The sequence below is a fragment of the Homo sapiens genome, chromosome 5 (assembly GCF_000001405.40).
Source record: "Homo sapiens chromosome 5, GRCh38.p14 Primary Assembly".
Taxonomy (NCBI): Eukaryota; Metazoa; Chordata; class Mammalia; order Primates; family Hominidae; genus Homo; species Homo sapiens.
The window spans coordinates 625,737-652,356 of NC_000005.10; the positions used below are offsets into that span (position 1 = coordinate 625,737).

Genomic DNA, 26,620 nt, shown 5'->3' on the forward strand with positions numbered 1-26,620 from the left:
AGCTGTTCCATGCCCCTCCTGGCTGCTGGTGATCTACGCAGCCGCTGGCGTTGTTTGTCTCGGAGGGCCTCCCTCCAGCCCTGCTCTCACAGGCCGTCTTCCCCTGTGTCTCTTCACAGAATCTCTCCTCCGTGCCTGTCTCTCTACGGGGCCAGGTTTCCCCTTCTTAGAAGGACACCAGTGATCGTGGATCAGGGCCCACCTTAATGGCCTCATGGTAATTTGATTGCCTCTGTAAGTCGCTGTTTCCAAGAAAGGTTGCATTCCGAGGCACTGGGTTAAGGACTTCAACATGTCTTTTGGGTGGGGGGCAGGGGGGGGCGGCACAGTGCGCCACTCCTGACACCTGGAATCCTGCACCCTGGCTGTCATCACTTGTTAGTTTCATGGGGTTTTCTTTTGGATTCTTTGTCATTTTTTACATAGAAAATCATGTCATCTGTGAACAGTTTTATTCCTTCCTTCCAGATCGGTATACCTTTTATTTCCTTTTCTTACCTTACTGCCTTATCTGGGGCTTCCAGCATGATGTTGGGAAGTCTGGTGAGAGGGAGCATCCTAGCCTCACCTCCTGTCTTGGTGGGAGAGCATCTGGTTTCCAGCGCAGCCTTGCGCCTGCTGGCCATGGATGATAGGTGTTGTCTTCATGCGGAGAAGGCTCTCTTCCACTCTCAGTTTGCTGAAAGGAATCATCATGAAGGAGTGTTAGATTTTGTCAAATGCTTTTTCTGCATCTATGATGTGATCTTGTGATTTTCTCCTTCAGCCTGTTGCTGTGAAGGATTTTCAAACATTGAACTGGGCCAGCCACAGTGGCTAACACCTGTAATCTCAGTGCTTTGGGAGGCCAAGGTGGGAGGATTGCTTGAGGCCAAGAGTTTGAGACCAGCCTGGACAACATAGTGAGACTCTGTCTGTAAGAAAACTTTTTTTTTTCTTAATTAACTGGGTATGGTGGTGCGTGCCTGTAGTCCCAGCTACTCGGGAGGCAGGAAGACCCCCTGAGCCTGGGAGTTGGAGGCTGCAGTGAGCTATGATCGCACCACTGCACTCTAACCTGGGTGACAGAGTGAGACCCTGTCTGTAAGAGAAATAGAAGTAAGTATTGAGCCAGCCGTGCATACCTAGAATAAATCCTGCCTGATTGTGGTATGGAATTCTGTTGGATTGTTGGATTCAGTTTGCTGATTTTTTAAATTGAGGATTTTTGTGTCTATTCATAAGAGATACTGGCCTGTGGTTTTCTTATATTGCCTTTGTCTGGTTTTGGTTTTAGGATCATGCTGACCGCATAGAATGAGTTAGGAAGTCATCTCTCTGCTTCCATCTTCTGGCAGATACTGTAGAGATTTGATATACTTTCTTCTGTACAGTGAGCCCATCTGGCCTGGTACTTTCTGTTTTGGAAGGTTATTAACTATTGACTTGATTTCTTTAATAGAGATCTCTACAGTTTGTCTGTTTTGGCAGATTGTTTCTTTCAAGGAATTGGTCGTCTCATCTGAGTTGTCACGTTGGTGGGCCTAGATAGATGTTCATCACATTCTTTTGTTTCCCTTTTAATGTCTCTGGGATCTGTGGTGATAACCCCTCTTTCATGTCAGTTATTCGTGTTTTCTTTTTTCTTAGTTAACATTTCCTTTGCATGTTACGAATTTTGAACTTTTGGATTAGGGCTGCCCTGTACATGGAACTCAGGCTGGCGTTTCCACAGCTACCCTTGAGCTGGGATTGGGGAACGGACTTGGTGGGTTAGAGTGTCACAGTCACTGTCTGTACTGAAAACTGGCTGTTTTCCTGCACAGTTGCTAGCTGGGTTCTGAGTTCCAAAAAAGCTCATTCTGATACCTTTTCTTATTTTTTATATAGTTGTTTTTTTACGGAGGGCTAGAATTTGGAGCTCTTTTGTCTGCCATTTTTTGCTGACACCACTCCAAATACATTTTTATTCTGATTTACAAGATTGTTTCAAATTTTTTCTCTTCTAATACATATAGGAATAAAGGAAGCACTTATTCCACGTGGTTGGAAATGCTGTATTCTAGTCAAAAAATAGTATTTTACTTGGCTTCACATTTACTTATATTAAAACTTTACAGTAGTGTTTGGTTGGTGTAAAAGTCACAAACATCACAGAAACTGATGAAAAGAAAGGGAGTAAAAGTCTTCCCCCGCCATTCACGCTGCTGACCGTGACCAGCGGCAACGTGTGGATGCACTTTCCTGCTTTCTCAGGGTGCGCGCGGGCACGGAGCGTCACTCGGTGCGTGCAGACATGGAGCGCCACTGCACGTAAGATTACTCTTTATACCACACGCGACTTTTAACCTCTAGATGATGAGAACAGAATATGCTTCATAGCACAGTGGCACAGACACGAGGGTTAGTGATTGACACGCCCGCCGGGTCGTCTTTGTGGACATTCAGACTCATTGTGTCCCGGCGTGAAAGCTTCAGTCATGGATTTTCTCAGTTGAGATTGTCCACAGTTCCCGTCTTTGATCATCTCAAGACTGAACTATCACAGAGATGAGAGTGGAAGATGACGTGGGTCAATGTCCATACCGCACAGAGGAGGTGGGGGACGCCCAAGGAACTATGCTCAGTGTCAGGCTTCAGGGAGGTCCTGGCCCCAGGACCCAGCCCCCTTCTTTGTGCAGCTTCTGGAGAACTCAGGTCACAGGCCCCGGGGATTGGCCCCAGGACCCAGCGCCCTTCTTTGTGCAGCTTCTGGAGAACTCAGGTTGCCGTCCCTGGGGAGTGTTCCCAGGACCCAGCCCCCTTCTTTGTGCAGCTTCTGGAGAACTCAGGTTGCAGTCCCCGGGGAGTGTTCCCAGGACCCAGCCCCCTTCTTTGTGCAGCTTCTGGAGAACTCAGGTCGCAGTCCCCGGGGAGTGGCCCCAGGACCCAGCCCCCTTCTTTGTGCAGCTTCTGGAGAACTCAGGTCACAGGCCCCGGGGAGTGTTCCCAGGACCCAGCCCCCTTCTTTGTGCAGCTTCTGGAGAACTCAGGTTGCAGTCCCCGGGGAGTGTTCCCACGACCCAGCCCCCTTCTTTGTGCAGCTTCTGGAGAACTCAGGTTGCCGTCCCCAGGGAGTGGCCCCAGGACCCAGCGCCCTTCTTTGTGCAGCGTTCTGGAGAACTCAGGTTGCCGTCCCTGGGGAGTGGCCCCAGGACCCAGCCCCCTTCTTTGTGCAGCGTTCTGGAGAACTCAGGTCACAGGCCCCGGGGAGTGTTCCCAGGACCCAGCCCCCTTCTTTGTGCAGCGTTCTGGAGAACTCAGATCGCAGGCCCCGGGGAGTGGGACTGTCCTCGGGTGGACCAGGTGTCGTATCATGAGCCACTCACAAAAGCAGCGTTCCTGGTCACTGCCCTTGGGTTTGTTTTGTGTAGATATCTCTTAACTGCCTTTGTTGGAAACAAGGTCCCCTTTGAGCACATTCTTCTCTGTATAGAGGGTCACCATGCTAAGGTGGGTCATATTCTGACACACCTCTGATTTCAGCCATTATGAAAACATTCTCCCTGAATGTGAAAGTGAACATTTGGAACACTTAACTTTCTTGATCACGTGTATCTCCTTGTGGATGTGCTAGGAAAAGTGTAATCACATAGCAGAACAGAATCTTCCAGAACTTTAATTTTTGAACCAATCCTAGTGGGGTTCTGTCCAGTGCCGGGATTTGGACCAGTCCTGGTGGGATTCTGTCCAGTGCCGGGATTTGACCCAGTCCTGGTGGGGTTCTGTCCAGTGCCGGGATTTGGACCAGTCCTGGTGGGGTTCTGTCCAGTGCCGGGATTTGGACCAGTCCTGGTGGGGTTCTGTCCAGTGCCGGGATTTGGCCCAGTCCTGGTGGGGTTCTGTCCAGTGCCGGGATTTGGCCCAGTCCTGGTGGGGTTCTGTCCAGTGCCGGGATTTGACCCAGTCCTGGTGGGGTTCTGTCCAGTGCCGGGATTTGGCCCAGTCCTGGTGGGGTTCTGTCCAGTGCCGGGATTTGACTCAGTCCTGGTGGGGTTCTGTCCAGTGCCGGGATTTGGCCCAGTCCTGGTGGGGTTCTGTCCAGTGCCGGGATTTGGCCCAGTCCTGGTGGGGTTCTGTCCAGCGCCGGGATTTGGCCCAGTCCTGGTGGGGTTCTGTCCAGCGCCGGGATTTGGCCCAGTCCTGGTGGGGTTCTGTCCAGTGTCGGGATTTGACCCAGTCCTGGTGGGGTGCTGTCCAGTGCCGGGATTTAGACCAGTCCTGGTGGGGTTCTGTCCAGTGCTGGGATTTGACCCAGTCCTGGTGGGGTTCTGTCCAGTGTCGGGATTTGACCCAGTCCTGGTGGGGTGCTGTCCAGTGCCGGGATTTAGACCAGTCCTGGTGGGGTTCTGTCCAGTGCTGGGATTTGACCCAGTCCTGGTGGGGTTCTGTCCAGTGCCGGGATTTGGCCCAGTCCTGGTGGGGTTCTGTCCAGCGCCGGGATTTGGCCCAGTCCTGGTGGGGTTCTGTCCAGCGCCGGGATTTGGCCCAGTCCTGGTGGGGTTCTGTCCAGCGCCGGGATTTGGCCCAGTCCTGGTGGGGTTCTGTCCAGTGCCGGGATTTGACCCAGTCCTGGTGGGGTTCTGTCCAGTGCCGGGATTTGGCCCAGTCCTGGTGGGGTTCTGTCCAGTGCCGGGATTTGACCCAAGTCCTGGTGGGGTTCTGTCCAGTGCCGGGATTTGACCCAGTCCTGGTGGGGTTCTGTCCAGTGCCGGGATTTGGCCCAGTCCTGGTGGGGTTCTGTCCAGTGCCGGGATTTGACCCAGTCCTGGTGGGGTTCTGTCCAGTGCCGGGATTTGGCCCAGTCCTGGTGGGGTTCTGTCCAGCGCCGGGATTTGGCCCAGTCCTGGTGGGGTTCTGTCCAGCGCCGGGATTTGGCCCAGTCCTGGTGGGGTTCTGTCCAGTGCCGGGATTTGACCCAGTCCTGGTGGGGTTCTGTCCAGTGCCGGGATTTGGCCCAGTCCTGGTGGGGTTCTGTCCAGTGCCGGGATTTAGACCAGTCCTGGTGGGGTTCTGTCCAGTGCCGGGATTTGACCCAGTCCTGGTGGGGTTCTATCCAGTGCCGGGATTTGGCCCAGTCCTGGTGGGGTTCTGTCCAGTGCCGGGATTTGACCCAGTCCTGGTGGGGTTCTGTCCAGTGCCGGGATTTAGACCAGTCCTGGTGGGGTTCTGTCCAGTGCCGGGATTTGGCCCAGTCCTGGTGGGGTTCTGTCCAGTGCCGGGATTTGACCCAGTCCTGGTGGGGTTCTGTCCAGTGCTGGATTTGACCCAGTCCTGGTGGGGTTCTGTCCAGCGCCGGGATTTGGCCCAGTCCTGGTGGGGTTCTGTCCAGCGCCGGGATTTGGCCCAGTCCTGGTGGGGTTCTGTCCAGCGCCGGGATTTGGCCCAGTCCTGGTGGGGTTCTGTCCAGTGCCGGGATTTGACCCAGTCCTGGTGGGGTTCTGTCCAGTGCCGGGATTTGGCCCAGTCCTGGTGGGGTTCTGTCCAGTGCCGGGATTTAGACCAGTCCTGGTGGGGTTCTGTCCAGTGCCGGGATTTGACCCAGTCCTGGTGGGGTTCTGTCCAGTGCCGGGATTTGGCCCAGTCCTGGTGGGGTTCTATCCAGTGCCGGGATTTGACCCAGTCCTGGTGGGGTTCTGTCCAGCGCCGGGATTTGGCCCAGTCCTGGTGGGGTTCTGTCCAGCGCCGGGATTTGGACCAGTCCTGGTGGGGTTCTGTCCAGCGCCGGGATTTGGACCAGTCCTGGTGGGGTTCTGTCCAGCGCCGGGATTTGGACCAGTCCTGGTGGGGTTCTGTCCAGTGCCGGGATTTGGACCAGTTCTGGTGGGGTTCTGTCCAGTGCCGGGATTTGGACCAGTCCTGGTGGGGTTCTGTCCAGTGCCGGGATTTGGCCCAGTCCTGGTGGGGTTCTGTCCAGTGCCGGGATTTAGACCAGTCCTGGTGGGGTTCTGTCCAGTGCTGGATTTGACCCAGTCCTGGTGGGGTGCTGTCCAGTGCCGGGATTTAGACCAGTCCTGGTGGGGTTCTGTCCAGTGCCGGGATTTGGCCCAGTCCTGGTGGGGTTCTGTCCAGTGCCGGGATTTAGACCAGTCCTGGTGGGGTTCTGTCCAGTGCTGGATTTGACCCAGTCCTGGTGGGGTTCTGTCCAGTGCCGGGATTTGGCCCAGTCCTGGTGGGGTTCTGTCCAGCGCCGGGATTTGGCCCAGTCCTGGTGGGGTTCTGTCCAGCGCCGGGATTTGGCCCAGTCCTGGTGGGGTTCTGTCCAGTGCTGGGATTTGACCCAGTCCTAGTGGGGTTCTGTCCAGTGCCGGGATTTGGCCCAGTCCTGGTGGGGTTCTGTCCAGTGCCGGGATTTAGACCAGTCCTGGTGGGGTTCTGTCCAGCGCCGGGATTTGGCCCAGTCCTGGTGGGGTTCTGTCCAGCGCCGGGATTTGGACCAGTCCTGGTGGGGTTCTGTCCAGTGTCGGGATTTGACCCAGTCCTGGTGGGGTGCTGTCCAGTGCCGGGATTTAGACCAGTCCTGGTGGGGTTCTGTCCAGTGCTGGGATTTGACCCAGTCCTGGTGGGGTTCTGTCCAGTGTCGGGATTTGACCCAGTCCTGGTGGGGTGCTGTCCAGTGCCGGGATTTAGACCAGTCCTGGTGGGGTTCTGTCCAGTGCTGGGATTTGACCCAGTCCTGGTGGGGTTCTGTCCAGTGCCGGGATTTGGCCCAGTCCTGGTGGGGTTCTGTCCAGCGCCGGGATTTGGCCCAGTCCTGGTGGGGTTCTGTCCAGCGCCGGGATTTGGCCCAGTCCTGGTGGGGTTCTGTCCAGTGCCGGGATTTGACCCAGTCCTGGTGGGGTTCTGTCCAGTGCCGGGATTTGGCCCAGTCCTGGTGGGGTTCTGTCCAGTGCCGGGATTTAGACCAGTCCTGGTGGGGTTCTGTCCAGTGCCGGGATTTGACCCAGTCCTGGTGGGGTTCTATCCAGTGCCGGGATTTGGCCCAGTCCTGGTGGGGTTCTATCCAGTGCCGGGATTTGACCCAGTCCTGGTGGGGTTCTGTCCAGCGCCGGGATTTGGCCCAGTCCTGGTGGGGTTCTGTCCAGCGCCGGGATTTGGACCAGTCCTGGTGGGGTTCTGTCCAGTGCCGGGATTTGGACCAGTTCTGGTGGGGTTCTGTCCAGTGCCGGGATTTGGACCAGTTCTGGTGGGGTTCTGTCCAGTGCCGGGATTTAGACCAGTCCTGGTGGGGTTCTGTCCAGTGCCGGGATTTGGCCCAGTCCTGGTGGGGTTCTGTCCAGTGCCGGGATTTAGACCAGTCCTGGTGGGGTTCTGTCCAGTGCCGGGATTTGACCCAGTCCTGGTGGGGTGCTGTCCAGTGCCGGGATTTAGACCAGTCCTGGTGGGGTTCTGTCCAGTGCCGGGATTTGGCCCAGTCCTGGTGGGGTTCTGTCCAGTGCCGGGATTTAGACCAGTCCTGGTGGGGTTCTGTCCAGTGCTGGATTTGACCCAGTCCTGGTGGGGTGCTGTCCAGTTCCGGGATTTAGACCAGTCCTGGTGGGGTTCTGTTCAGTGCCGGGATTTGGCCCAGTCCTGGTGGGGTTCTGTCCAGTGCCAGGATTTAGTCCCGTCCTGGTGGGGTTCTGTCCAGTGCTGGATTTGACCCAGTCCTGGTGGGGTGCTGTCCAGTGCCGGGATTTAGACCAGTCCTGGTGGGGTTCTGTTCAGTGCCGGGGTTTGGCCCAGTCCTGGTGGGGTTCTGTCCAGTGCTGGGATTTGGCCCAGTCCTGGTGGGGTTCTGTCCAGTGCCGGGATGCTGTCATGTTATCACGTAACCTGGCTGTTGCTCACCGATTGTCCTTGGTGAGTCACTCTTTAGCATCACTGCAGTGGAAGCAACAGGACCCGGCTGCCCCACGTTTGCAGCACGCTGCTTCTCTCAGAGACCGTGCAGGAATTTTCCTTCTCCTGGTCTGCGTGGGCCGGAGCATATGGCTGGCTTGAGTGATGCTGATGAGTTTGCTTTTCCTTACAGACCACACCACCCCAGAGCCAAGTGCACCGAGGCCTTGGCCAAGCAGAGCCTGGTCATGGATGCGGATGACGAGGCAGTCCTGAACCTCATTGCAGAGTGCGAGTGGGACCTCGGCAGGCCTCCCGGGAGCACGAGCTTCAGCCAGAAGGGGCGTGAGGCCGACTCTCGTGGTTCCCAAGGTGCGCTGCTCATCTGCCAGGAGGCCAGTGGGTCCGCTGGCTCTGGGATATATATAGTCGTTACTGGGCTTGGAGTCCACAGTTGCTCTTTTTGTGGAACTTACCTTGAAGGATAGGATCTTCATGATGTGTCTTTGTGTGCTTTCGAATGCCAGCCATTTGGACTACAGAGTTATAAATGAGAAAGTTAACATATTTGAGTATAGTCATACTGCATGATGGTTTAAATTGTATCCTTCTGAGATCACAGGAAAAGGCAAACTGTCTAAAACAGACAAGAAGCCTAGTGTCCTGTGGCAAGTGGGGCTGACATCTGCGGCAGCTGCAGGGGGGCATAGTCACCGAACTTGCAGGAAACCCTGAGCTCAGGCCGCCACGTGCAGACCTGTAGATCCCAGCAAGGGTGTCTCGGAGACTCCGTTGCCCGGTGGCACTGCCCTCCACTGGGATGTGCTGATGGGCTTTAGCTTCATTTATTCCACCTCCGCTGTGAGTTTCTGAGAACTTTTCGTGGAAACAACAGGTGGAGACCTGAGTTTGGGCTGAAATCTTAGGTTCATCTGTGCAAAGATGTCTGCCCTGTGGCAGCGGTGCTCGAGCCATGTCCTTGCCGGCACTGGGAGCTGAGTCCTTTAATCCTAGCTGCTCTGTCAGGGGGTTGTGGTCTGTGTTTATGGCTTTAATTTGCATCCGCTGCTGTTGAGATACTGGCCGTGCCTGTCTCTTCTTTTCTCTCCAGGTCTGCCCACCTTTGTTCTGGGGTTGCTTCTCTTAGTATTGAGTCCTAAGAGATCTTGGTGGTTTTGACACAGGCCCTTTCTCAGGCACAAGGGCTGCCCATTTCCTCCCTTCTGTGGCTGGCCTTTTCATTATCTGAACAGTGCTTTGAAGAGCACAAGTTTTAATTTCATTACAGTCCAGTTTATGAAGGGCACAGTTTATTTTGTTTTTTGTTTTGTTTATTTTGAGATGGAGTTTTGCTCTGCCGCCCAGGCTGGAGTGCAGTGGCGCAATCTTGGCTTGCTGCAGCCTTTGCCTCCCGGGTTCAAGTGATTCTCCTGCCTCAGCCTCCCAAGTAGCTGGGACTACAGGCGCCCACCACCACACCCAGCTAATTTTGTATTGAGACTGTCTGGACTCTCTCTTCTGTTTTGTGCATCATTTTGTCTGACTTTGCTCCACTTCATGCGGCTGGATTCTTGCAGCCTTGTCCTGAGTCTCGCAGGCGAGTGGCGCCAGTTCCCAGTTCCAAGCTCTCTTGCTGTTAGAAGTCACTGTGGATTCATTTCAGTGTCACCCAGCACGTGATTAACCCCTCGGTCTAACAGATACCATACACTATTCAGAAGCTTAAAATGTAATTTTTGATGGAATAAAACTTTTACAATGTTTTATGAAATATTTTATTTACAATATTTTAATAGAATCCAGACATCTGTTGAGCCCGCAGTTGGTACAGTACCAGTGTGGGGACTCTGGGAAGCAGGGCCGTGAGACGAGGAGGAGCAGCTGCAGAGGGTGCTGTCTGGAGAAGATGCCTTGGAGCCAGCTCTGTGGAGAGCTTCCGCCACTGTACGGAGCGGAGCCAGAGGCCTCCCGTGCCCCCAGGCCACACACGTACTTCACCCCACACCCAGGTACTTACGCGTGTCTTAGTCTGTTTTCTGTTGCTGTAACAGAAAACCACAGACTGAGTAATTTATAAAGAACAGAAGCTTATGTGGCTCATGGTTCTGGAGGCTGGGAAGTCCAAGAGCACGGTGCCGGCACCTGGTGCTGGTCCTCCCATGGCACAGGCAGAAGCATGGTGCAGGCAGAAGCAAGCTCAAGACAGAGAAATGGAGCTAGACTCATCCTTTATCGGGAACCCAGCCCTGCGCTACAGCATTCCTGCCTCCCTGCGGGCTGGCCCTGTGACCTGTTCCAGACTCATCCTTTATCAGGAACCCAGCCCTGCGATACAGCATTCCCGCCTCCCTGAGGGTTGGCCCTGTGACCTGTTCCAGACTCATCCTTTATCAGGAACCCAGCCCTGTGCTACAGCATTCCTGCCTCCCTGAGGGCTGGCCCTGTGACCTGTTCACCTCTTAAAGGCCCTCCGCTTAATACTGTTAGAGTGGCAATAAGTTTCCAGCTTAGGAACTTTGGGGGGTTCCTTCGAACTACAGCAACATGAAATCCCTGTCAACTTTTACTCCCTTCAGTTCCTTTTTAAGTAGTTAAATATTTTTCACATCGTTTGCTTTTACTATGAAATTTCTCCTGTTCTCTGTGTATTTATTTGTTTGTGGAACTCTCCAAAATGTCTTTGGAAAGAATGCAGCACATTGAAATTTATAATCCATTCATGGTTTAGATTCATGGTTGGTAAATAAGTGCTTTTTCTCTGCACGTGTGTGTGTGCACACCCTCCCTCACCCTCTCACTAATGCACACACACTTTTAAGTGTATGGGCCCAGGTTATGGCAATAGCTACATTTTGAAAATCAAAGGCGAGAAAAGTTAACCAAGAGTGTCACGTGATACCATGTGATGGCCACCTATGTGGCATAAGTATCAGAAAACCTCCTGCCGTGAGCAGGCCAGACACGGTGGCTCACGCCTATAATCCCAATATTTTGGGAGGCCGAGGCAGGCGGATCATTTGAGGTCAGGAGTTTAAGACCAGCCTGGCCAACATGGTGAAACCAGGTCTCTACTAAATATACAAAAATATCTGGGCATGGTGGCGGGCACCTATAGTCCCAGCTACTCAGGAGGCTGAGGCATGAGAATCGCTTGAACCTGGGAGGTGGAGGTTGCAATGAGCCTAGATGGCATCACTACACTCCAGCCTGGGCAATAGAGCAAGACTCCAACTCAAAAAAAAAAAAAAAAAAGAAAAAGAGAAACCTTGTCTCGCGTGACCCTGGCGCCTCCTGGAAGCTTGCTCATGCCCAACTGGTGAGAGGCAGGGGACCTAGCCAGGTTGTCTGTCAGCCGCTGCAGGATGTGATGGGTCATCTTGAGTTGAGCAGGCTGTGGTGGAGGCCAAGGCTGTGCCCGTTTTGTGCCTTCTCCTGCCTTCATTGTCCTTCCACAGACAAGTTTGCCTTCCCCCGGGTCTTGTGTGTCCTGGGGGCTTAGTGGTCGGTACAGTGCACGGGACCCACCACTTTACGGACCATCAGAGTCTGTCACTTCACCTGTCTTCAGAGATGGGCGTGTGCTTAGACGTTGTTTGGAACGCGTTGTTGAAGCGTACTGCACGTCGGTCATCACGGGGTGAACACGCGAAGCTGGGCGGTCCGTGTCTGCTTCATCCAGACTCCCCCAGAGTTTGCGTGTTAGCACGTGTGCCCCAGTATGCCCCTTTCTTCCCTCGGCACCCTCCCTCTGCATGTGCCTTTGTGCAGGTGTATGGATGTATGTATGCACGTGGATAGGTGTGCGTGTACATATGTAAGTGTGCGTGTGTGTCCATGTGTGTATATACATGGGCACACACATGCCTTTTAAAAGTTACAGTGCTGAACACTGCACCCAGAGAATTTGGCCTGACGTGCGCCCCATCCTCTCTATATCTCAGACTCCATGGATACCGAGGACTCGGCCTCTTCTCAGAAGTTGGATTTGTCAGGAGAAATGGTGCCTGGTCCCCTGCCAGCCCCCGGAAAGTGCAGGAAGCGAAGAATGCCTGTTGGAAGATTCCAGACGTTTTCGGACCAGGAGGGTTTGGGCTGCCCGGAGAGAACTCATGGGTCCTCCGTGCCCAAGGAGAGCCTGAGCAGACAGGACAGCTCAGAAAGCAGGAACGGGAGGACCTTGTCTCAGCCTGAGGCCTCGGAGACTGAGGAGCAGAGGTCTCGGGGTGTGACCGACACCAGAGAGGTGAGAGAAGGGCTGGGGAGCAGCAGGCCCACGGCACTGCCTCCCTAATGTGGGGCTGTTACGGCTTTGGCGGGGCCGTGATTACGCCTGCGGCACTGACTGTGTCCCTCCCTGATGCAGGGCTGTTACGGCGGTGCCGTGATTACGCCTACGGCACTGACCGTGTCCCTCCCTGATGCGGGGCTGTTACGGCTTTGGCGGTGCCGTGATTACGCCTACGGCACTGACCGTGTCCCAGGATAAAGGGAATCATCACACTTAGGGTTCCAGGGTGCTTGCTGCTGCGTTTTGTTGGACGTGTGCCTCTGTGCCACACGCTGTCCTGCGCTGCTGTTCTGAGTGGAAGCCCCGTGGTGGAGAGAGGGGACTCTGCCTTACGGTGCACAGGGCATTTGTCTCCAAAGCTGGAATCGGGCATCTTGGCCGGCTGAGCCATTGATGACCCTTTCGTGAGGGGAGGATCCTGGAGGTCGCTGTGATGAGAGACCGAGTCACTCCACCCTCAGGGTGACCTAGAGGTCAGGGGGACAACTGGCGCAGGCCCAGTCAGAGGCGTTGAGACACACCTGCTGTAGACATGAGTGCAGACCACCCAGAAGGGAACAGGCAGGGGCTGTTCACTTGGTACTTGCCACAACGAGGGCTTCAGACTCCCATGCAGGCAGAGGAGCTTGAAGGTGCGGAACTGTGGGACAGGAAGGGAGGCATGGCCGGAGCTAGAGGCAGCTCCGTAGCAGCATGGGGTGGGGGGGGGTCCCAGAGCTGGGTGGGGCGTGTTTGACGTCCCCGGCAGGTCCTGAGCTGGAAGGAGGCAGAGATGGGGGAGGTGGGCGGTCTGTTTCAGGGTTATTGTTTGACTCCGGGCCATTGCTGGGGACAGCGCCTGGCACCCTCTACCAGCCTGACTGTGGGTGCAGGCTGCTTCCTGGGCAGCTCCTTTTGAACACAGGCTCTGACTGCGGCCTGGATGTGTCTTCCGCTTCCCTGTCTGGGTTGAGGGGAGGAGTCTGGGGCCTGCTTGAGTTGGGAATGTGTGGGCCCCGTCCTGTCCTGTCATCGAGACCTCACTCATCCAGGACCGGTGCACCTGGCTAAGCCTCACTGGGCAGGCACTGCTGAGCCGCCCTCCACCTGGCTCAGGGCTGGGGCCTCAGGGCACCTGTCCTCCCCTTCGTGGTGCGAGGGCATCCCAGGGTGCGCTTGGGCACCTGCTGGCATTCAGGACCTCAGTTACTGACTCGCTGGCCTCATGCTGTTGTTTCCATCACAGCCGTCTCCCGGGTCACACTCGGCTCTACCCGGGAAGAAGACGGCCCTGCAGGCGGCGCTCCTGGAGACGCTCTTGGACCTGGTGGACAGGAGCTGGGGCGGCTGCAGGTCCCTGCACAGCAACGAGGCATTCCTTGGTGAGTCAGGGCGGCCACTGCTCTTGCCCTGTAGGCAGCGTCTGTGTGGGTTCCGGGGTCCTCTGCGTGTGGTGACCTAGGAGTCATCTCAGCCCCAGGTCTCCTATGTCCCCTCCCACGAGCGTGTGGTGGTCCCGCGCCTGGGCCCTCCCTGGCAGTCTTTGCATCTCACAGTGTCCAGGGCTCTCGGGAGACACCACATGGGCCTGGGCCTGTGGGTCCCCCGCTGTGCTCTGGGGTGTTGGGGGGCCTGTCACCTCATTTTGCTCAAAATGCTGTCCAAAGGGGCTTGGTTCTGATGGCTGTGATCACATGGGGATTTGGAGTTTGGAAGCTGCTCAGCATCTTCTCCCCCGACCCAGACGTGTAGCCTGTGCTGGGCCTGGATTGCAGAGCTTTTGGTTGGTGTGGGACCCAGGAGGGTGGTCCCTCCCCAGAGAGGACTTGGGTCTGTTGGATTCTACCAGGCAACCCGTACATGAGCACACTGGGGCCTCCCTCATCCAGGATCACACTGGGAGACCAGGAGATGCCGCGTCCCCAGGGGCACCTTCTCTTTGTCCTGCATCCTGGGGTGTGGCTGTGTGTGTCCCTCAGGAGCCTAGCCAGTGTGCTTCTCCCCGCAGACCCTGGGCACGGCTCTGAGCTGTCTGACTGCGCCTTGCAGTGTTATAGCCCCTCAGCTCCTAGAATGAGGACGCCCTGCAGTCGCAGCCCACCTGGACCCCAGCCCCATAAACCTCCCCTCTCCCTAGGCTGGTGTCCTGTGGGAGCCTCCTGAGCTTGCCATCGTCGGTGGCGGGGGGACTGTCCCAGGCCCAGGCCACTGTCCCAGTGTGGAGTTGCCAGCTGTCGTCTGCATGGTGGTTTCCACACAGGGCAGTCGGTGCTTGTGGAAGGCGCAGCGAGTTGTGGCGGCGCCACTGAAACCTTGAGACGTGGCGGCCCCTGGTTGCCCCTTTTCTTGGAGGTCACCTCTTCTCTTTCTTCAGTTCCCACCCTGCCCGTGTGTGGACGCACAGAGCCTGAGGTGGTTTTGTGGCGCCAACACCCCTTTCCCCTCTCCCTACCTGTCGTCTTTTTGAGGCATCGTCTGTGTGATTCAAAACATACTGAGCCGATTTTGTTTACATTTCATCCTTTAAGCCTAAGTGCTAATGTAATATTTGGTTTTCACTCCTAGCTCAGGCAAGACACATCTTGTCATCTGTTGAAGAATTCACAGCAGCTCAGGACAGCTCTGCGATGGTGGGTGAAGATGTCGGCTCCCTGGCTCTGGAGAGTAAGTCCCTGCAAAGCCGCCTTGCTGAGCAGCAGCAGCAGCACGCCCGGGAGATGAGCGAGGTGACGGCGGAGCTGCACCACACACACAAGGAGCTGGTGAGCCCGCCCTGGCGCTGTGTCTGTGTCCATGTGACTGGGGGAAACATGGCTCTGACTTCCAGGAACGAGGGCAGCTCCTTGATGCCACACTGTCCCAACTGCCATCTCTGCAGCCCCATGTCTCCACTCCCTGCCCGGGACCCGGCCACCCCCGGAACGCGGCCTGCCCTGTCTCACAACAGGCCTGGAGCACTTTGGAGACAGCAGTGGCGCTGGCCACCTTCTCTCCCCGGGCCCAAGGGACCCTCCACCACTGGGCAGTGCCGGGTGCTGCAGGAGCCAGGCCTGGACGTGACTTTGTCTTGCTGACCCATCTCTCAGGGCCTCGAACTGGGGAAAACCGAGGCCACTCTCCTTTTATGAAGGAGATGACGGCCAGTGTCCCATGGTGAGCTGGGGCTACAGGGCAAGTTACCCCAAAACCAGCAGCTGAAAACCTGCATTTATCACCTTGGATTTCTGTGTATTGGGCCTCAGGCTCAGCTCAGCCAGGCTCCCTCCTTCCGTCTCAGCCGTGGGCCGGGGCCGCCGTCTCATCTGAGGCCTCATGGGGGCTCTGTCTCAGCCGTGGGCTGGGGCCACCGTCTCATCTGAGGCCTCACGGGACAGGATCCTCCCAGGCTCCCTCCACGCTGCAAGGGCCTCCCCACGGGCTGCTGGCATCCTTAGCACAGGGAGCTGGTGGTCAGAGAGCCACACCCAGGCAGAAGCCGCCCTCCGGGAGTCCTGGTGTGAGGGCAGAGCCACGTGAGGATGTGCACATCCAGAGGGGCCTTGTCAGCATCTTTAAATTGCGAGTGAAGTCGGCCCGGGACGGCTTCGAAAACTGCCTCTGAACTTGTCTGACAAGTACATACTGTCCGTTTCATGGGAACCAACATCTCAGAGATCCCACACAACGCTTCCTCTTTAGAGAAGAAAAACACAGCAAAACAACACAGGCAGCCTCTGTTTAAACGCACGTGGCCCCCCCACCCCGCCTGGAAGCCTCTGCACGTGGCCTTCATCTGGAAGCCTCTGTATTTAAACACATGTGGGCCTCCTCCATCTGGAAGCCTCTGTATTTAAACACACGTGGGTCCCCATCCCCCGTCCAGAAGTCTCTGCATTTAAACACACATGGCCCCCCATCCCCCATCCAGAAGCCTGTGCATTTAAGCACACGTGGTCCCCCGTCTAGAAGCCTGTGCATTTAAGCACACGTGGTCCCCGGTCCAGAAGCCTCTGCATTTAAGCACACGTGGTCCCCCGTCCAGAAGCCTGTGCATTTAAACACACGTGGTCCCCCGTCCAGAAGCCTGTGCATTTAAACACACGTGGTCCCCCGTCCAGAAGCCTCTGCATTTGAACACACGTGGTCCCCCGTCTAGAAGCCTGTGCATTTAAGCACACGTGGTCCCCCGTCTAGAAGCCTGTGCATTTAAACACACGTGGTCCCCCGTCTAGAAGCCTCTGCATTTAAGCACACGTGGTCCCCCGTCCAGAAGCCTGTGCATTTAAACACACGTGGTCCCCCGTCCAGAAGCCTCTGCATTTGAACACACGTGGTCCCCCGTCTAGAAGCCTCTGCATTTAAACACACGTGGTCCCCCATCTAGAAGCCTCTGCATTTAAGCACACGTGGTCCCCCGTCCAGAAGCCTCTGCTTTTAAACCAACGTGGCCCCTCCTCTGGAAGCCTCTGTATTTAAACACACATGGCCCCTCATCTGGTGGAAGCCTCTGGATTTAAGCACACATGGCCCCTTCTCTGGAAGCCTCTATATTTAAACACGTGTGGCCCCCCGTCTGGAAGCCTTTATACTGAAACACACGTGACCGGCTGTCTGGAAAGTGAGCTGGGCGCCGTCACTGATGATGTCTTTTCTGTGGGACACAGTCAGGCACACCCCTTGCCCTTCTGAGCCTGGGACGAGACAGAGCTGACAGGCGGAGCCCAAAGGTGTGCCGAGCACCAGTGCTGCCAGGGGTGAGAGTCACATGCAGCTGTGGCTGCCGTGGACGCCTGCTTTTTTGCCCTCTGCAGTTTGCCTAACCCCTGCAGTTTGCAGGCAGCCCTGGGCCTCTGGACAGAGCAGCCCTGGTTCCCTGTCAGGGTGAGTGATCCAGAAGAATCTGGCAGCCCGAGCCCCGCGGGTAAGGAGCAGTCAGCACCGTCAGGAACCCCGCGGAGGGAGCAGCCGTGCAGGCTGGTGGGCACTGCTTTCCAGGGAGGCCCACATCTGTCACTCCAGAAGCACCCAAGTTTACTCTGCCACGTGAGGACGCTCATCCCTCGGTCACATGAACCTAGACCTTGCTTCCTTTGGAAGCTGCAGTCGGGTGTCCTGAGGCAAGGTGGCCCCACTTCCAGCTGCTGTGCCTGGCACGGCCTCTGAGGCAGATGGGCTGCGCCCAGCTTGGGTGCAGTCGGTCCTCTGTTCCCTGCACCTGTCGTGGCCTAGACTCCAAAAAATAAAAAATTAGGTGTGGTGGCACACTCCTGTCATCCCAGCTATTTTGGGAGGTAGAGGCAGGAGGCTCAGGAGTTGGGGGCTGCAGTGAGCTGTGATTGCTCCACTGCCCTCTAGTTTGTGCGACAGAGGGAGACTTTGCCTCAAAGAAACAAATGAAAAAGAGCTGGGAGCTCACAGCCCTGCCTTAAGAGCTCACCGCATCCTTGGGAGGCAAAACCATGAGACGTGGCACTGCCAGGAGCTTTCTGGACGACCCAAAGCCCCGCGCGGAGGGCAGGTCATGCTGGTTGGCGCCACTGCAGCAGACACCTTGGGGAGAAGTCCGCGAAATGAAGAACGGGCCAAGATAAGCCTGAGGGGAATGGTCTCAGACCCAGCGATCAGCTTTCACCATGGGCGTCGGGGGCCTGGCGGGTGCATGCATGCTGAGGGGGCTGTCGGCGGGTGGGCTCACTGAGCGGAGAAGGATGAAGCGGCGATACCCCCAGCACGAGGCTTCTGCTGCACAGACTCAGGCGCTCCCTCCCCTGGTGGCAGTGAGCTGGGGCCTGCTCAGCACCCCCGGCCCCAGGATGTGCCTGCTGGTGCCTGAGAGAGCAGCAGCCAGGTGAGACGGGATCCCTGGGGACCCTGGCCGCAGGTGCTGGCGGCTTGGATGGCTCACACCTCACCAGACACCCTGGGGCCAGGGAGGGGCAGAGGCTGCCGTGTAGCTGCAGGCGTGGCCCTTTCCCCTCCTCGATGACAGCTCGTCCTGTGCTCCAGGTCTTCTCCATACTTTGAGGATATGAAAGGAGCCAGAACAGAAGGGGGTTCCTGCAGGGCCACCGGTGCCTCACACTGGCACCAAGGCCTGGGGCTCGCAGTGTCCGTGAGGGCGTCCTGGAAGAGACAGGGTTCCCCCAACCGCCACCAGCTGCCCTGCCCAGCATCAGGCCTGCAGGTCCTGCTGGAGCACATGCCTCAGGGAGACTCAGGAGTGGGGCTCTCACAGGACTGGGGCGCTCCTTTCCATCCCTCTCCTCACTTCCCCCCTCCCCTGAGGGTGCTGCAGGGCTGGGCAGGGCGGGCTGGGAGCAGGGAGATGTACCGTGAAACTGAATTACTGCCTTTCACATCGTGACTCCCAAGTATGCAGAAGGAACCCTCTGGGGATTCTCAGGTTTCAGTTTTACTTTCTATACGCATTTTACTGAATTTGACTTGTGCACTTAAGTGTATTTTCTGTGTCCGCAGGATGATTTGAGACAACATTTAGATAAATCTTTGGAAGAGAACAGTAGGTTAAAATCGCTTTTGTTGAGTATGAAAAAGGAAGTGAAGAGTGCAGACACTGCAGCCACGTTAAATTTGCAGATCGCTGGTAAGTTGATCGTGTATTTGGTCACTTTGTAAACTTTAGGTGTTCAAATGTGCCTAGGTAGACTTTGTTTTAAATTCTTCACTGAGGGAAGTGAGCAGCAGCAGACGCAGTTGGTAAGTGGGGAGCCGAGCCCCTGCCTCACTGGCTGGGGTGGAGGCTGCCTCGGCCGGAGTTTATGGCACACACGTGTGTCTGGGGCAGTCCTGGCATGGATGTAGGAGGCAAGGCCACCCCTGTCCTCACCCTGCCCGACCGTCCTCCCCTCAGCACAGGGTGTCAGGGCTGCAGCTGCTGGAGGGGCCTGGTCACTGTGGGGTTTGCTGCTCCTGTCTGGCGTCCTCCCATGGTTATGCTGCCATCGAATTTGGTGAATGAGCCTGTTGCCCAGCGTCTCAGCGTTACAGATTCAGGTTGCATTTCTGGTGAACCCGTGTCTCTCCCGAGCAGGCCTGCTGTGGTCAAGATGCAGATCTTTCTCATTTCCCTCTCTTCACTTTTTTTGTTCTGTTTTGCTATTTTTACAAAAGTGTATTCAGTATTTCAAGTTCAGATACCTGGATTTTAAATAAGGAAATGCTGATGGAGTCTGCTGTCCACGGTAACCTTCTCGGTGTGGCGTGGAGTCTCTTGGAAGTTTTAACTCATACTTCCCTGAGATTGACAAGTCGAGCATCTCTTCCTGGTCTAGCCTCTCAGGGGCTCATGGACTTTTCCTCAAAGGCCAGGTAGTAACCGTTTCAGGGCGTGTGGGTCTCACGATGTCTGTCCCAACCAGCGGTGGCCTTTGCGGCAGGGAGGCAGCTGTGGATGAGGCCTGTGGCCGCTCTGTCTCCTTTGGGGCAGCGTCTCCTTGGATCTTTCGCCCGTTGGTTTTTATTGGGTTGTTTTATCGAGCGGTAAGAGTTCCTTAGAGTCTTCTTTTTTATTTATAAATTTTGCTTTTCTATCTTCTGTTTCTTTAAGATACTGTTATATTTACAACGGGTCCTTGAATAACCGTGTCCATTCAACATCATTTCGTCGTAAAGGTGATGAGAAAAAAAAAAAAAAACAGTTCCCTGCCCGGGAGAACTGTGTGTGTGGTTTGCTCTCCCGGCTCTGTGGGCTTTCTCTGGGTGCGCTGTTTTCCCCCATGCCCCAAAGCTGTGCACGCCAGGGTGTTGCTGTGTCTGACCTGTCCCATCTCGAGTGAGTGCAGGCACCAGCCGCCCTGCTGTGCGATGGCATCTGATCAGCACTGGTACCCGCTCCACGCCCTGAGCTGCTGGGATAGGCTGCAGCCACCTCTGCCCCTGAACTGGAACAACAGAGTAAATAATAGTCTAACTTGTCTTTGTTACTCGGTCTTAAATGTATGCATAGCTCCCATTTATTTTAGTGTTTAATGTTAGAGGTGTCTTGGTCTTTGGTGGTTTGGTGATGTTCTTGTGACTAGAAATTGCTGTGTGAGCGTCACTCCTGCTCCCGTCGGCGGCCTGTGTGGACGGTGAATTCGGCTTCGTTACACTGTGTGAGCGTCACTCCTGCTCCCGTTGGCGCCCTGTGTGGATGGTGAATTCGGCTTCCTTACACTGTGGGAGCGTCACTCTTGCTCCCATCGGCGGCCTGTGTGGACAGTGAATTCGGCTTCGTTACACTGTGTGAGCGTCACTCTTGCTCCCATTGGCGGCCTGTGTGGATGGTGAATTCGGCTTCTTTCCACGGCGGTCGCTTTGCTTCGTGGCTGTTTCCAGAACCATCAGTGCGAAGCGAGGACTTGTTGGACTTTCTGTTAGACTCCTTCTTAGCCTTCACTTCCAGTGTGAATTTTTTCTTTTATTGCTAATTCTTCCCTGAGTTCAGAACCCTCTTTTCTGACATTTCTAATTATGACTTACGTTGTTTTTTCGTTTCTTCTGTCATTTCCTTTTTGTCTCGTAGGGATGTTCTTGCGCCCTAACCCTTTGCCTTACAGAAACTGGGATTTGGCTTCAATACTTTCTGCTGCTTTTTACATGAAAATTGTGCTTCTGGATTTCAGGGAGGAGGCAGGGTCAGGGCAGGTTTTCTGACCTCATGGATCAAGGATAGGGCAGCCTCCTTCTGGGGATTCTCAGGCCCTGTTCTCTCCTCCACCCTTCTCTGATGCCGTCATCCTGGTTGACCTTGACCCTGACCCCACACCAGCTGTTCCTCTTGGTGCAGGCTCTGTTCTAGAAGACCAGGCAGGTCAGCTCTGAGGGATTGCACGGCTGCCTCAGCTTTTGCAGACTGCATGGGGGCCCCTGGCCTCACCCTCATGGGAGGGGCAGGGCCGTGGTTCCCTGATTGGCCCACTGGGTTTCCCAAGGGAGCAAAGGACACTTGGGGGCTGTCCCGTTCTCAGAGCTGACGGCCACCCACTGCTGACGGCTGCCTCACTCCCGCAGAGGTGGACATGATGTGTGACTTGTGGCCTCTGGGGGTTTGTCCCAGCCTCTTGTGTTTGGGGTCCCAAGGCTTCCTTGTCTCTGGGATGCTGTAGTGTTGTCCCTGGGGTTCTGGTTTTGCCGTCTGAGGACTCTTGGTTTGGCCAGCACGGGGACTGGAAGGTCCTGAAGCTGTGCCGCCCTGCGCTTCCTTCATTCATGCCCTACGTGAACATGTCCATCGACATAGACTTCACGCGGCGTGGCCTTCACACTGTGGATGCTCCTGCGGCACTGCTGCCTTGTGGGTGAGAAGAGCCTGCCATCCGTGTCACCATCACCCTTTGCCCACCACCTTCCCCACCTCTGGCTTTCTCACTGCCTCTGTCACTGTGTGGTTTTGCAAGAGTGTGTCTACATGTGGGTTTATTTGTATCCCGTGTTTGGATTTGGGGAGCCACTAAATAGTATCTCTCTTCTCCTCTTGTGCTGGAAATCCAGAAACAGGCAGGAGTTTGTAGATGGAAACCAGCCACATATTCCATCACTGATGGTTGCAGAGTCAGAGGGCACTTTGGAGACCTGTGGCCACTGTGGGCTGCTTGGTGCTTTTCCCGAAACCCACAGGCCCTCCCTTCAGGGGCACAGTGTGCTTCCTTGTGGAGGAGGAACCAGCAGACAGGCCCAGTGGAGGGACTGCCAGCCAGTGCCGCCTCTCCCTGCCCTCACACAGGGATGTGGCTCCATGGGGGCCTGTGGAGGGCAGACCACACAGCTGCAGCCTGGGGAGGGCCCAGGGTAGAAACAGCACAGGGAGGGGCCGTGGCATTCATGCTCGCCCTGTCTTTGAGTCTCATTAATACTGATCTTTTCCAGCTATATTCTTTTTCTGGTAACCAAGATCCAGTTTAAATGTAGAATTGTTTTCATTTTCAAAATGTATTAATGAGTTTTACTCATTAATGGTACTTTTTTTTTTCTTTCTCTTTCAGGACTTCAAACAAGTGTGAAGAGGCTGTGTGGCGAGATTGTGGAACTGAAGCAGCACCTGGAGCACTACGACAAGATCCAGGAGCTCACGCAGATGCTGCAGGAGAGCCACAGGTGCCTGCCCGTGAGACTTGGGTGGGCCCCCGAGGGGAGGAGGCCCAGGTACAGGGAGGGTTGGGCCGGACTGGGTCACACCCAGAAGGCACAGAGGAGCAGCTCCTCATGAGTCTTGGCCGATGATATCCAGGACCACTGCTGATTTGAAACTTTCATAAACTTTCCTCTCTGAAAACGGAGGCCCTTCATGCTGTCTGTCGCATGTGTGAGGCGTGGATCATGAAGTGTGACCCATGAGGTGTGGATGTGAGGTCTGACCATGAGGTGTGACCACGAGGCATGGACTGTGAGATGGGACTGTGAGGTATGTGACCATGGGGTGTGGGCTGTGAGGTATCAACCCTGAGTGTGAGATGTGACTGTGAGGTGTGGACTGTGAGGTGTGACTGTGAGGTATGACTGTGAGGCATGGACTGTGAGGTGTGACTGTGAGGTGTGACTGTGAGGTGTGACCACGAGGCATGGACTGTGAGATGGGACTGTGAGGTATGTGACCATGGGGTGTGGGCTGTGAGGTATCAACCCTGAGTGTGAGGTGTGACTGTGAGGTGTGACTGTGAGGTATGACTGTGAGGTGTGACTGTGAGGTGTGGACTGTGAGGTGTGACTGTGAGGTGTGACTGTGAGGTGTGACTGTGAGGTGTGGACTGTGAGGTGTGACTGTGAGGTGTGACTGTGAGGCGTGGACTGTGAGGCGTGGACTGTGAGGCGTGGACTGTGAGGTGTGACTGTGAGGTGTGACTGTGAGGTGTGGACTGTGAGGCGTGACTGTGAGGCGTGAATGTGAGGCGTGACTGTGAGGCGTGACTGTGAGGCATGACTGTGAGGTGTGGACTGTGAGGTGTGGACTGTGAGGTGTGACTGTGAGGTGTGACTGTGAGGCGTGGACTGTGAGGTGTGACTGTGAGGTGTGACTGTGAGGTGTGGACTGTGAGGTGTGACTGTGAGGTGTGACTGTGAGGTGTGACTGTGAGGCGTGGACTGTGAGGGGTGACTGTGAGGTGTGACTGTGAGGTGTGACTGTGAGGTGTGACCACGAGGCATGGACTGTGAGATGGGACTGTGAGGTATGTGACCATGGGGTGTGGGCTGTGAGGTATCAACCCTGAGTGTGAGGTGTGACTGTGAGGTGTGACTGTGAGGTGTGGACTGTGAGGTGTGACTGTGAGGTGTGACTGTGAGGTGTGGACTGTGAGGTGTGAATGTGAGGCGTGACTGTGAGGCGTGACTGTGAGGCGTGACTGTGAGGTGTGGACTGTGAGGTGTGACTGTGAGGTGTGACTGTGAGGTGTGGACTGTGAGGTGTGACTGTGAGGTGTGACTGTGAGGTGTGGACTGTGAGGTGTGACTGTGAGGTGTGACTGTGAGGCATGGACTGTGAGGCGTGACTGAGGCGTGACTGTGAGGCGTGACTGTGAGGCGTGGACTGTGAGGCGTGGACTGTGAGGTGTGACTGTGAGGTGTGACTGTGAGGTGTGCCTGTGAGGCGTGGACTGTGAGGCGTGGACTGTGAGGGGTGACTGTGAGGTGTGGACTGTGAGGTGTGACTGTGAGGTGTGACTGTGAGGTGTGGACTGTGAGGTGTGACTGTGAGGTGTGACTGTGAGGTGTGGACTGTGAGGTGTGACTGTGAGGTGTGACTGTGAGGCGTGGACTGTGAGGCGTGACTGAGGCGTGACTGTGAGGCGTGGACTGTGAGGCGTGGACTGTGAGGTGTGACTGTGAGGTGTGACTGTGAGGTGTGCCTGTGAGGCGTGGACTGTGAGGCGTGGACTGTGAGGCGTGGACTGTGAGGGGTGACCGTGAGGCGTGGACTGTGAGGCGTGGACTGTGAGGTGTGACTGTGAGGCGTGGACTGTGAGGTGTGACTGAGGTGTGACTGTGAGGTGTGACTGTGAGGTGTGGACTGTGAGGCGTGACTGTGAGGCGTGACTGTGAGGCGTGACTGAGGTGTGGACTGTGAGGTGGGACTGTGAGGTGTGACTGAGGTGTGACTGTGAGGTGTGGACTGTGAGGCGTGACTGTGAGGCGTGACTGTGAGGCGTGGACTGTGAGGTGTGACTGTGAGGCGTGGACTGTGAGGCGTGGACTGTGAGGTGTGACTGTGAGGTGTGACTGTGAGGCGTGGACTGTGAGGTGTGACTGTGAGGTGTGACTGTGAGGCGTGACTGTGAGGTGTGGACTGTGAGGTGTGACTGTGAGGCGTGGACTGTGAGGTGTGACTGTGAGGCGTGGACTGTGAGGTGTGACTGAGGTGTGACTGAGGTGTGACTGTGAGGCGTGGACTGTGAGGTGTGACTGTGAGGCGTGGACTGTGAGGCGTGGACTGTGAGGTGTGACTGTGAGGCGTGGACTGTGAGGTGTGACTGTGAGGTGTGACTGTGAGGTGTGACTGTGAGGCGTGGACTGTGAGGTGTGACTGTGAGGCGTGGACTGTGAGGTGTGACTGTGAGGCGTGGACTGTGAGGTGTGACTGTGAGGTGTGACTGTGGGTGTGAGGTGTGACTGTGAGGCGTGGACTGAGGTGTGACTGTGAGGCGTGGACTGTGAGGTGTGACTGTGAGGTGTGGACTGTGAGGTGTGACTGTGAGGTGTGACTGTGAGGCGTGGACTGTGAGGTGTGACTGTGAGGCGTGGACTGTGAGGTGTGACTGTGAGGTGTGACTGTGGGTGTGAGGTGTGACTGTGAGGCGTGGACTGAGGTGTGACTGTGAGGCGTGGACTGTGAGGTGTGACTGTGAGGCGTGGACTGTGAGGTGTGACTGTGAGGTGTGACTGTGAGGCGTGGACTGTGAGGCGTGGACTGTGAGGCGTGGACTGTGAGGGGTGACTGTGAGGCGTGGACTGTGAGGTGTGACTGTGAGGTGTGACTGTGAGGCGTGGACTGTGAGGTGTGACTGTGAGGTGTGACTGTGAGGCGTGGACTGTGAGGCGTGGACTGTGAGGCGTGGACTGTGAGGCGTGGACTGTGAGGCGTGGACTGTGAGGTGTGGACTGTGAGGTGTGACTGTGAGGTGTGACTGTGAGGCGTGGACTGTGAGGCGTGGACTGTGAGGCGTGGACTGTGAGGTGTGACTGTGAGGCGTGGACTGTGAGGTGTGACTGTGAGGCGTGGACTGTGAGGTGTGACTGTGAGGTGTGGACTGTGAGGTGTGACTGTGAGGCGTGGACTGTGAGGCGTGGACTGTGAGGTGTGACTGTGAGGCGTGGACTGTGAGGTGTGACTGAGGCGTGGACTGTGAGGTGTGACTGTGAGGTGTTACTGTGAGGCGTGGACTGTGAGGTGTGACTGTGAGGCGTGGACTGTGAGGTGTGACTGAGGCGTGGACTGTGAGGTGTGACTGTGAGGCGTGGACTGTGAGGTGTGACTGTGAGGTGTGACTGTGAGGTGTGACTGTGAGGCGTGGACTGTGAGGTGTGACTGTGAGGTGTGACTGAGGCATGGACTGTGAGTTGTGAATGTGAGGTGTGGACTGAGAGTTGTGGACTGTGAGATATGACCTGTGTGCAGTGTGACCAGGGGAGAGAGGTGCATGAGAGATGGTCGGGCACGGCGGGGCAACCTGGTTCCCCTGGGCGGTAGTCCGGCAGCTGTGCTTCCCCCTTCACTGCAGTGCGTGTTCAGTTGGAAACACGGAGATTTCACCTTTACTCCCTGGCTATAGGGGGATGGTGAGAAGGGGGCTGGGTGTGAGGGGATCTTCAAGGCAGAATCTTAGTTTGTCTTTTAAGAATTGTGTGCCGGGACGTGGTTGGAGGCTGGGTGCAGAAAGGAAGAGGCGAGCTGCTGGAGGAGGCAAGGACAGGTCGCTCTGGGCAGTTTTGTGGGTGCTGCTGTGTGAACCCCTGTTGCTGTGGCCTCAGCAGGGAAGGCTGGTCTGTGGTCAGTTCCTCCCCCTCCCCTCCCCCTTTCATTCCCTCTTCCTTTCCCCCGACCTCCCATTCCCGCTCCCTCCCCCACTCCTCAGGCTGAGGCTGCCACACTTACCTGGGTTCGACCACAGTCTGGTCATAGGCGTAGCCAGGCTCTGCCCCTTACAGGATAAAGGCCACAGACCCCCATGGGGCCCATCACAGGTGTAAGTTACAGAGGGGAAGGGTCCTGAAAGATGAGACTGGGCCAAGAGGAGATGCAGCGGAGCAGAAGGAAGGGGACTGTGGCGGCCGCGGGTGCAGTGCCCAGTCGTGGGCAGGGCCATGTGACTCCCTGGAACCTGGTGGGCCTGTCTGTGGCAGGTCAAGGTACAGTTGGGGGTCATTCTCCTTGAGCACTGTGGCCTGGATGTGGACAAGGCAGGGTGCACAGCTCCCAAACATGGTGGCATTGGGCTTCTGCCCCCAGGATTCATGCTGGCTTCATCCAGTCCTGGCCTGCGGCTCCTTTGCTGTCCAAGTGAACAGGGCCTGGGCCTGCACAGTGGCCCTGTCAGTGGGGTG

The 26,620-nt window shown here is 56.1% G+C and overlaps 1 protein-coding gene across 11 annotated transcripts in view, besides 10 other annotated features; it reads left to right on the forward strand.

Annotated features, from left to right (window-relative positions):
• Positions 1-26,620, forward strand: part of CEP72 (centrosomal protein 72) — a 64,277-nt gene that overhangs the window by 13,397 nt on the left and 24,260 nt on the right. For all 11 annotated transcript variants that reach the window (NR_164122.1, XM_047417363.1, XM_047417364.1 and 8 more), the window contains 7 exons: positions 8,033-8,211; positions 9,636-9,848; positions 11,781-12,082; positions 13,353-13,488; positions 14,672-14,868; positions 18,563-18,689; positions 22,069-22,180. Coding sequence is in view for 10 of the 11 variants with exons in the window: in XM_047417363.1 (XP_047273319.1) it covers positions 8,033-8,211; positions 9,636-9,848; positions 11,781-12,082; positions 13,353-13,488; positions 14,672-14,868; positions 18,563-18,689; positions 22,069-22,180 (1,266 nt within the window). In the remaining variant the exon portion in view is untranslated. The remainder of the gene's footprint in view (positions 1-8,032; positions 8,212-9,635; positions 9,849-11,780; positions 12,083-13,352; positions 13,489-14,671; positions 14,869-18,562; positions 18,690-22,068; positions 22,181-26,620) is intronic.
• Positions 11,341-11,510: an enhancer, noted in NCBI's record as "experimental_86736 CRE fragment used in MPRA reporter constructs". NCBI's record gives its function as "activates a minimal promoter by MPRAs in K562 erythroleukemia cells, with activity observed for both the introgressed and non-introgressed 5:637277 variant alleles {active_cell/tissue: K562}" and the evidence as "EXISTENCE:reporter gene assay evidence [ECO:0000049][PMID:34662402]".
• Positions 17,092-17,261: an enhancer, noted in NCBI's record as "experimental_86741 CRE fragment used in MPRA reporter constructs". NCBI's record gives its function as "activates a minimal promoter by MPRAs in K562 erythroleukemia cells, with activity observed for both the introgressed and non-introgressed 5:643028 variant alleles {active_cell/tissue: K562}" and the evidence as "EXISTENCE:reporter gene assay evidence [ECO:0000049][PMID:34662402]".
• Positions 17,321-17,821: an enhancer, noted in NCBI's record as "H3K4me1 hESC enhancer chr5:643172-643672 (GRCh37/hg19 assembly coordinates)". NCBI's record gives its function as "activates a minimal SCP1, AML or CMV promoter by ChIP-STARR-seq in primed H9 embryonic stem cells {active_cell/tissue: H9 hESC(primed)}" and the evidence as "EXISTENCE:reporter gene assay evidence [ECO:0000049][PMID:30033119]".
• Positions 17,822-18,322: an enhancer, noted in NCBI's record as "H3K4me1 hESC enhancer chr5:643673-644173 (GRCh37/hg19 assembly coordinates)". NCBI's record gives its function as "activates a minimal SCP1, AML or CMV promoter by ChIP-STARR-seq in primed H9 embryonic stem cells {active_cell/tissue: H9 hESC(primed)}" and the evidence as "EXISTENCE:reporter gene assay evidence [ECO:0000049][PMID:30033119]".
• Positions 17,865-17,924: an enhancer, noted in NCBI's record as "active region_22297". NCBI's record gives its function as "activates an Ori minimal core promoter by ATAC-STARR-seq in GM12878 lymphoblastoid cells {active_cell/tissue: GM12878}" and the evidence as "EXISTENCE:reporter gene assay evidence [ECO:0000049][PMID:35858748]".
• Positions 17,945-17,994: an enhancer, noted in NCBI's record as "active region_22298". NCBI's record gives its function as "activates an Ori minimal core promoter by ATAC-STARR-seq in GM12878 lymphoblastoid cells {active_cell/tissue: GM12878}" and the evidence as "EXISTENCE:reporter gene assay evidence [ECO:0000049][PMID:35858748]".
• Positions 18,616-18,785: an enhancer, noted in NCBI's record as "experimental_86745 CRE fragment used in MPRA reporter constructs". NCBI's record gives its function as "activates a minimal promoter by MPRAs in K562 erythroleukemia cells, with activity observed for both the introgressed and non-introgressed 5:644552 variant alleles {active_cell/tissue: K562}" and the evidence as "EXISTENCE:reporter gene assay evidence [ECO:0000049][PMID:34662402]".
• Positions 19,548-19,717: an enhancer, noted in NCBI's record as "experimental_86749/86750 CRE fragment used in MPRA reporter constructs". NCBI's record gives its function as "activates a minimal promoter by MPRAs in K562 erythroleukemia cells, with activity observed for both the introgressed and non-introgressed 5:645484 or rs12517638 variant alleles {active_cell/tissue: K562}" and the evidence as "EXISTENCE:reporter gene assay evidence [ECO:0000049][PMID:34662402]".
• Position 19,633: a transcriptional cis regulatory region, noted in NCBI's record as "Neanderthal adaptively introgressed variant 5:645484 (GRCh37/hg19 assembly coordinates) or rs12517638 in the experimental_86749/86750 CRE". NCBI's record gives its function as "modulates activity of the experimental_86749/86750 enhancer by MPRAs in K562 erythroleukemia cells {active_cell/tissue: K562}" and the evidence as "EXISTENCE:reporter gene assay evidence [ECO:0000049][PMID:34662402]".
• Positions 20,482-20,651: an enhancer, noted in NCBI's record as "experimental_86753 CRE fragment used in MPRA reporter constructs". NCBI's record gives its function as "activates a minimal promoter by MPRAs in K562 erythroleukemia cells, with activity observed for both the introgressed and non-introgressed 5:646418 variant alleles {active_cell/tissue: K562}" and the evidence as "EXISTENCE:reporter gene assay evidence [ECO:0000049][PMID:34662402]".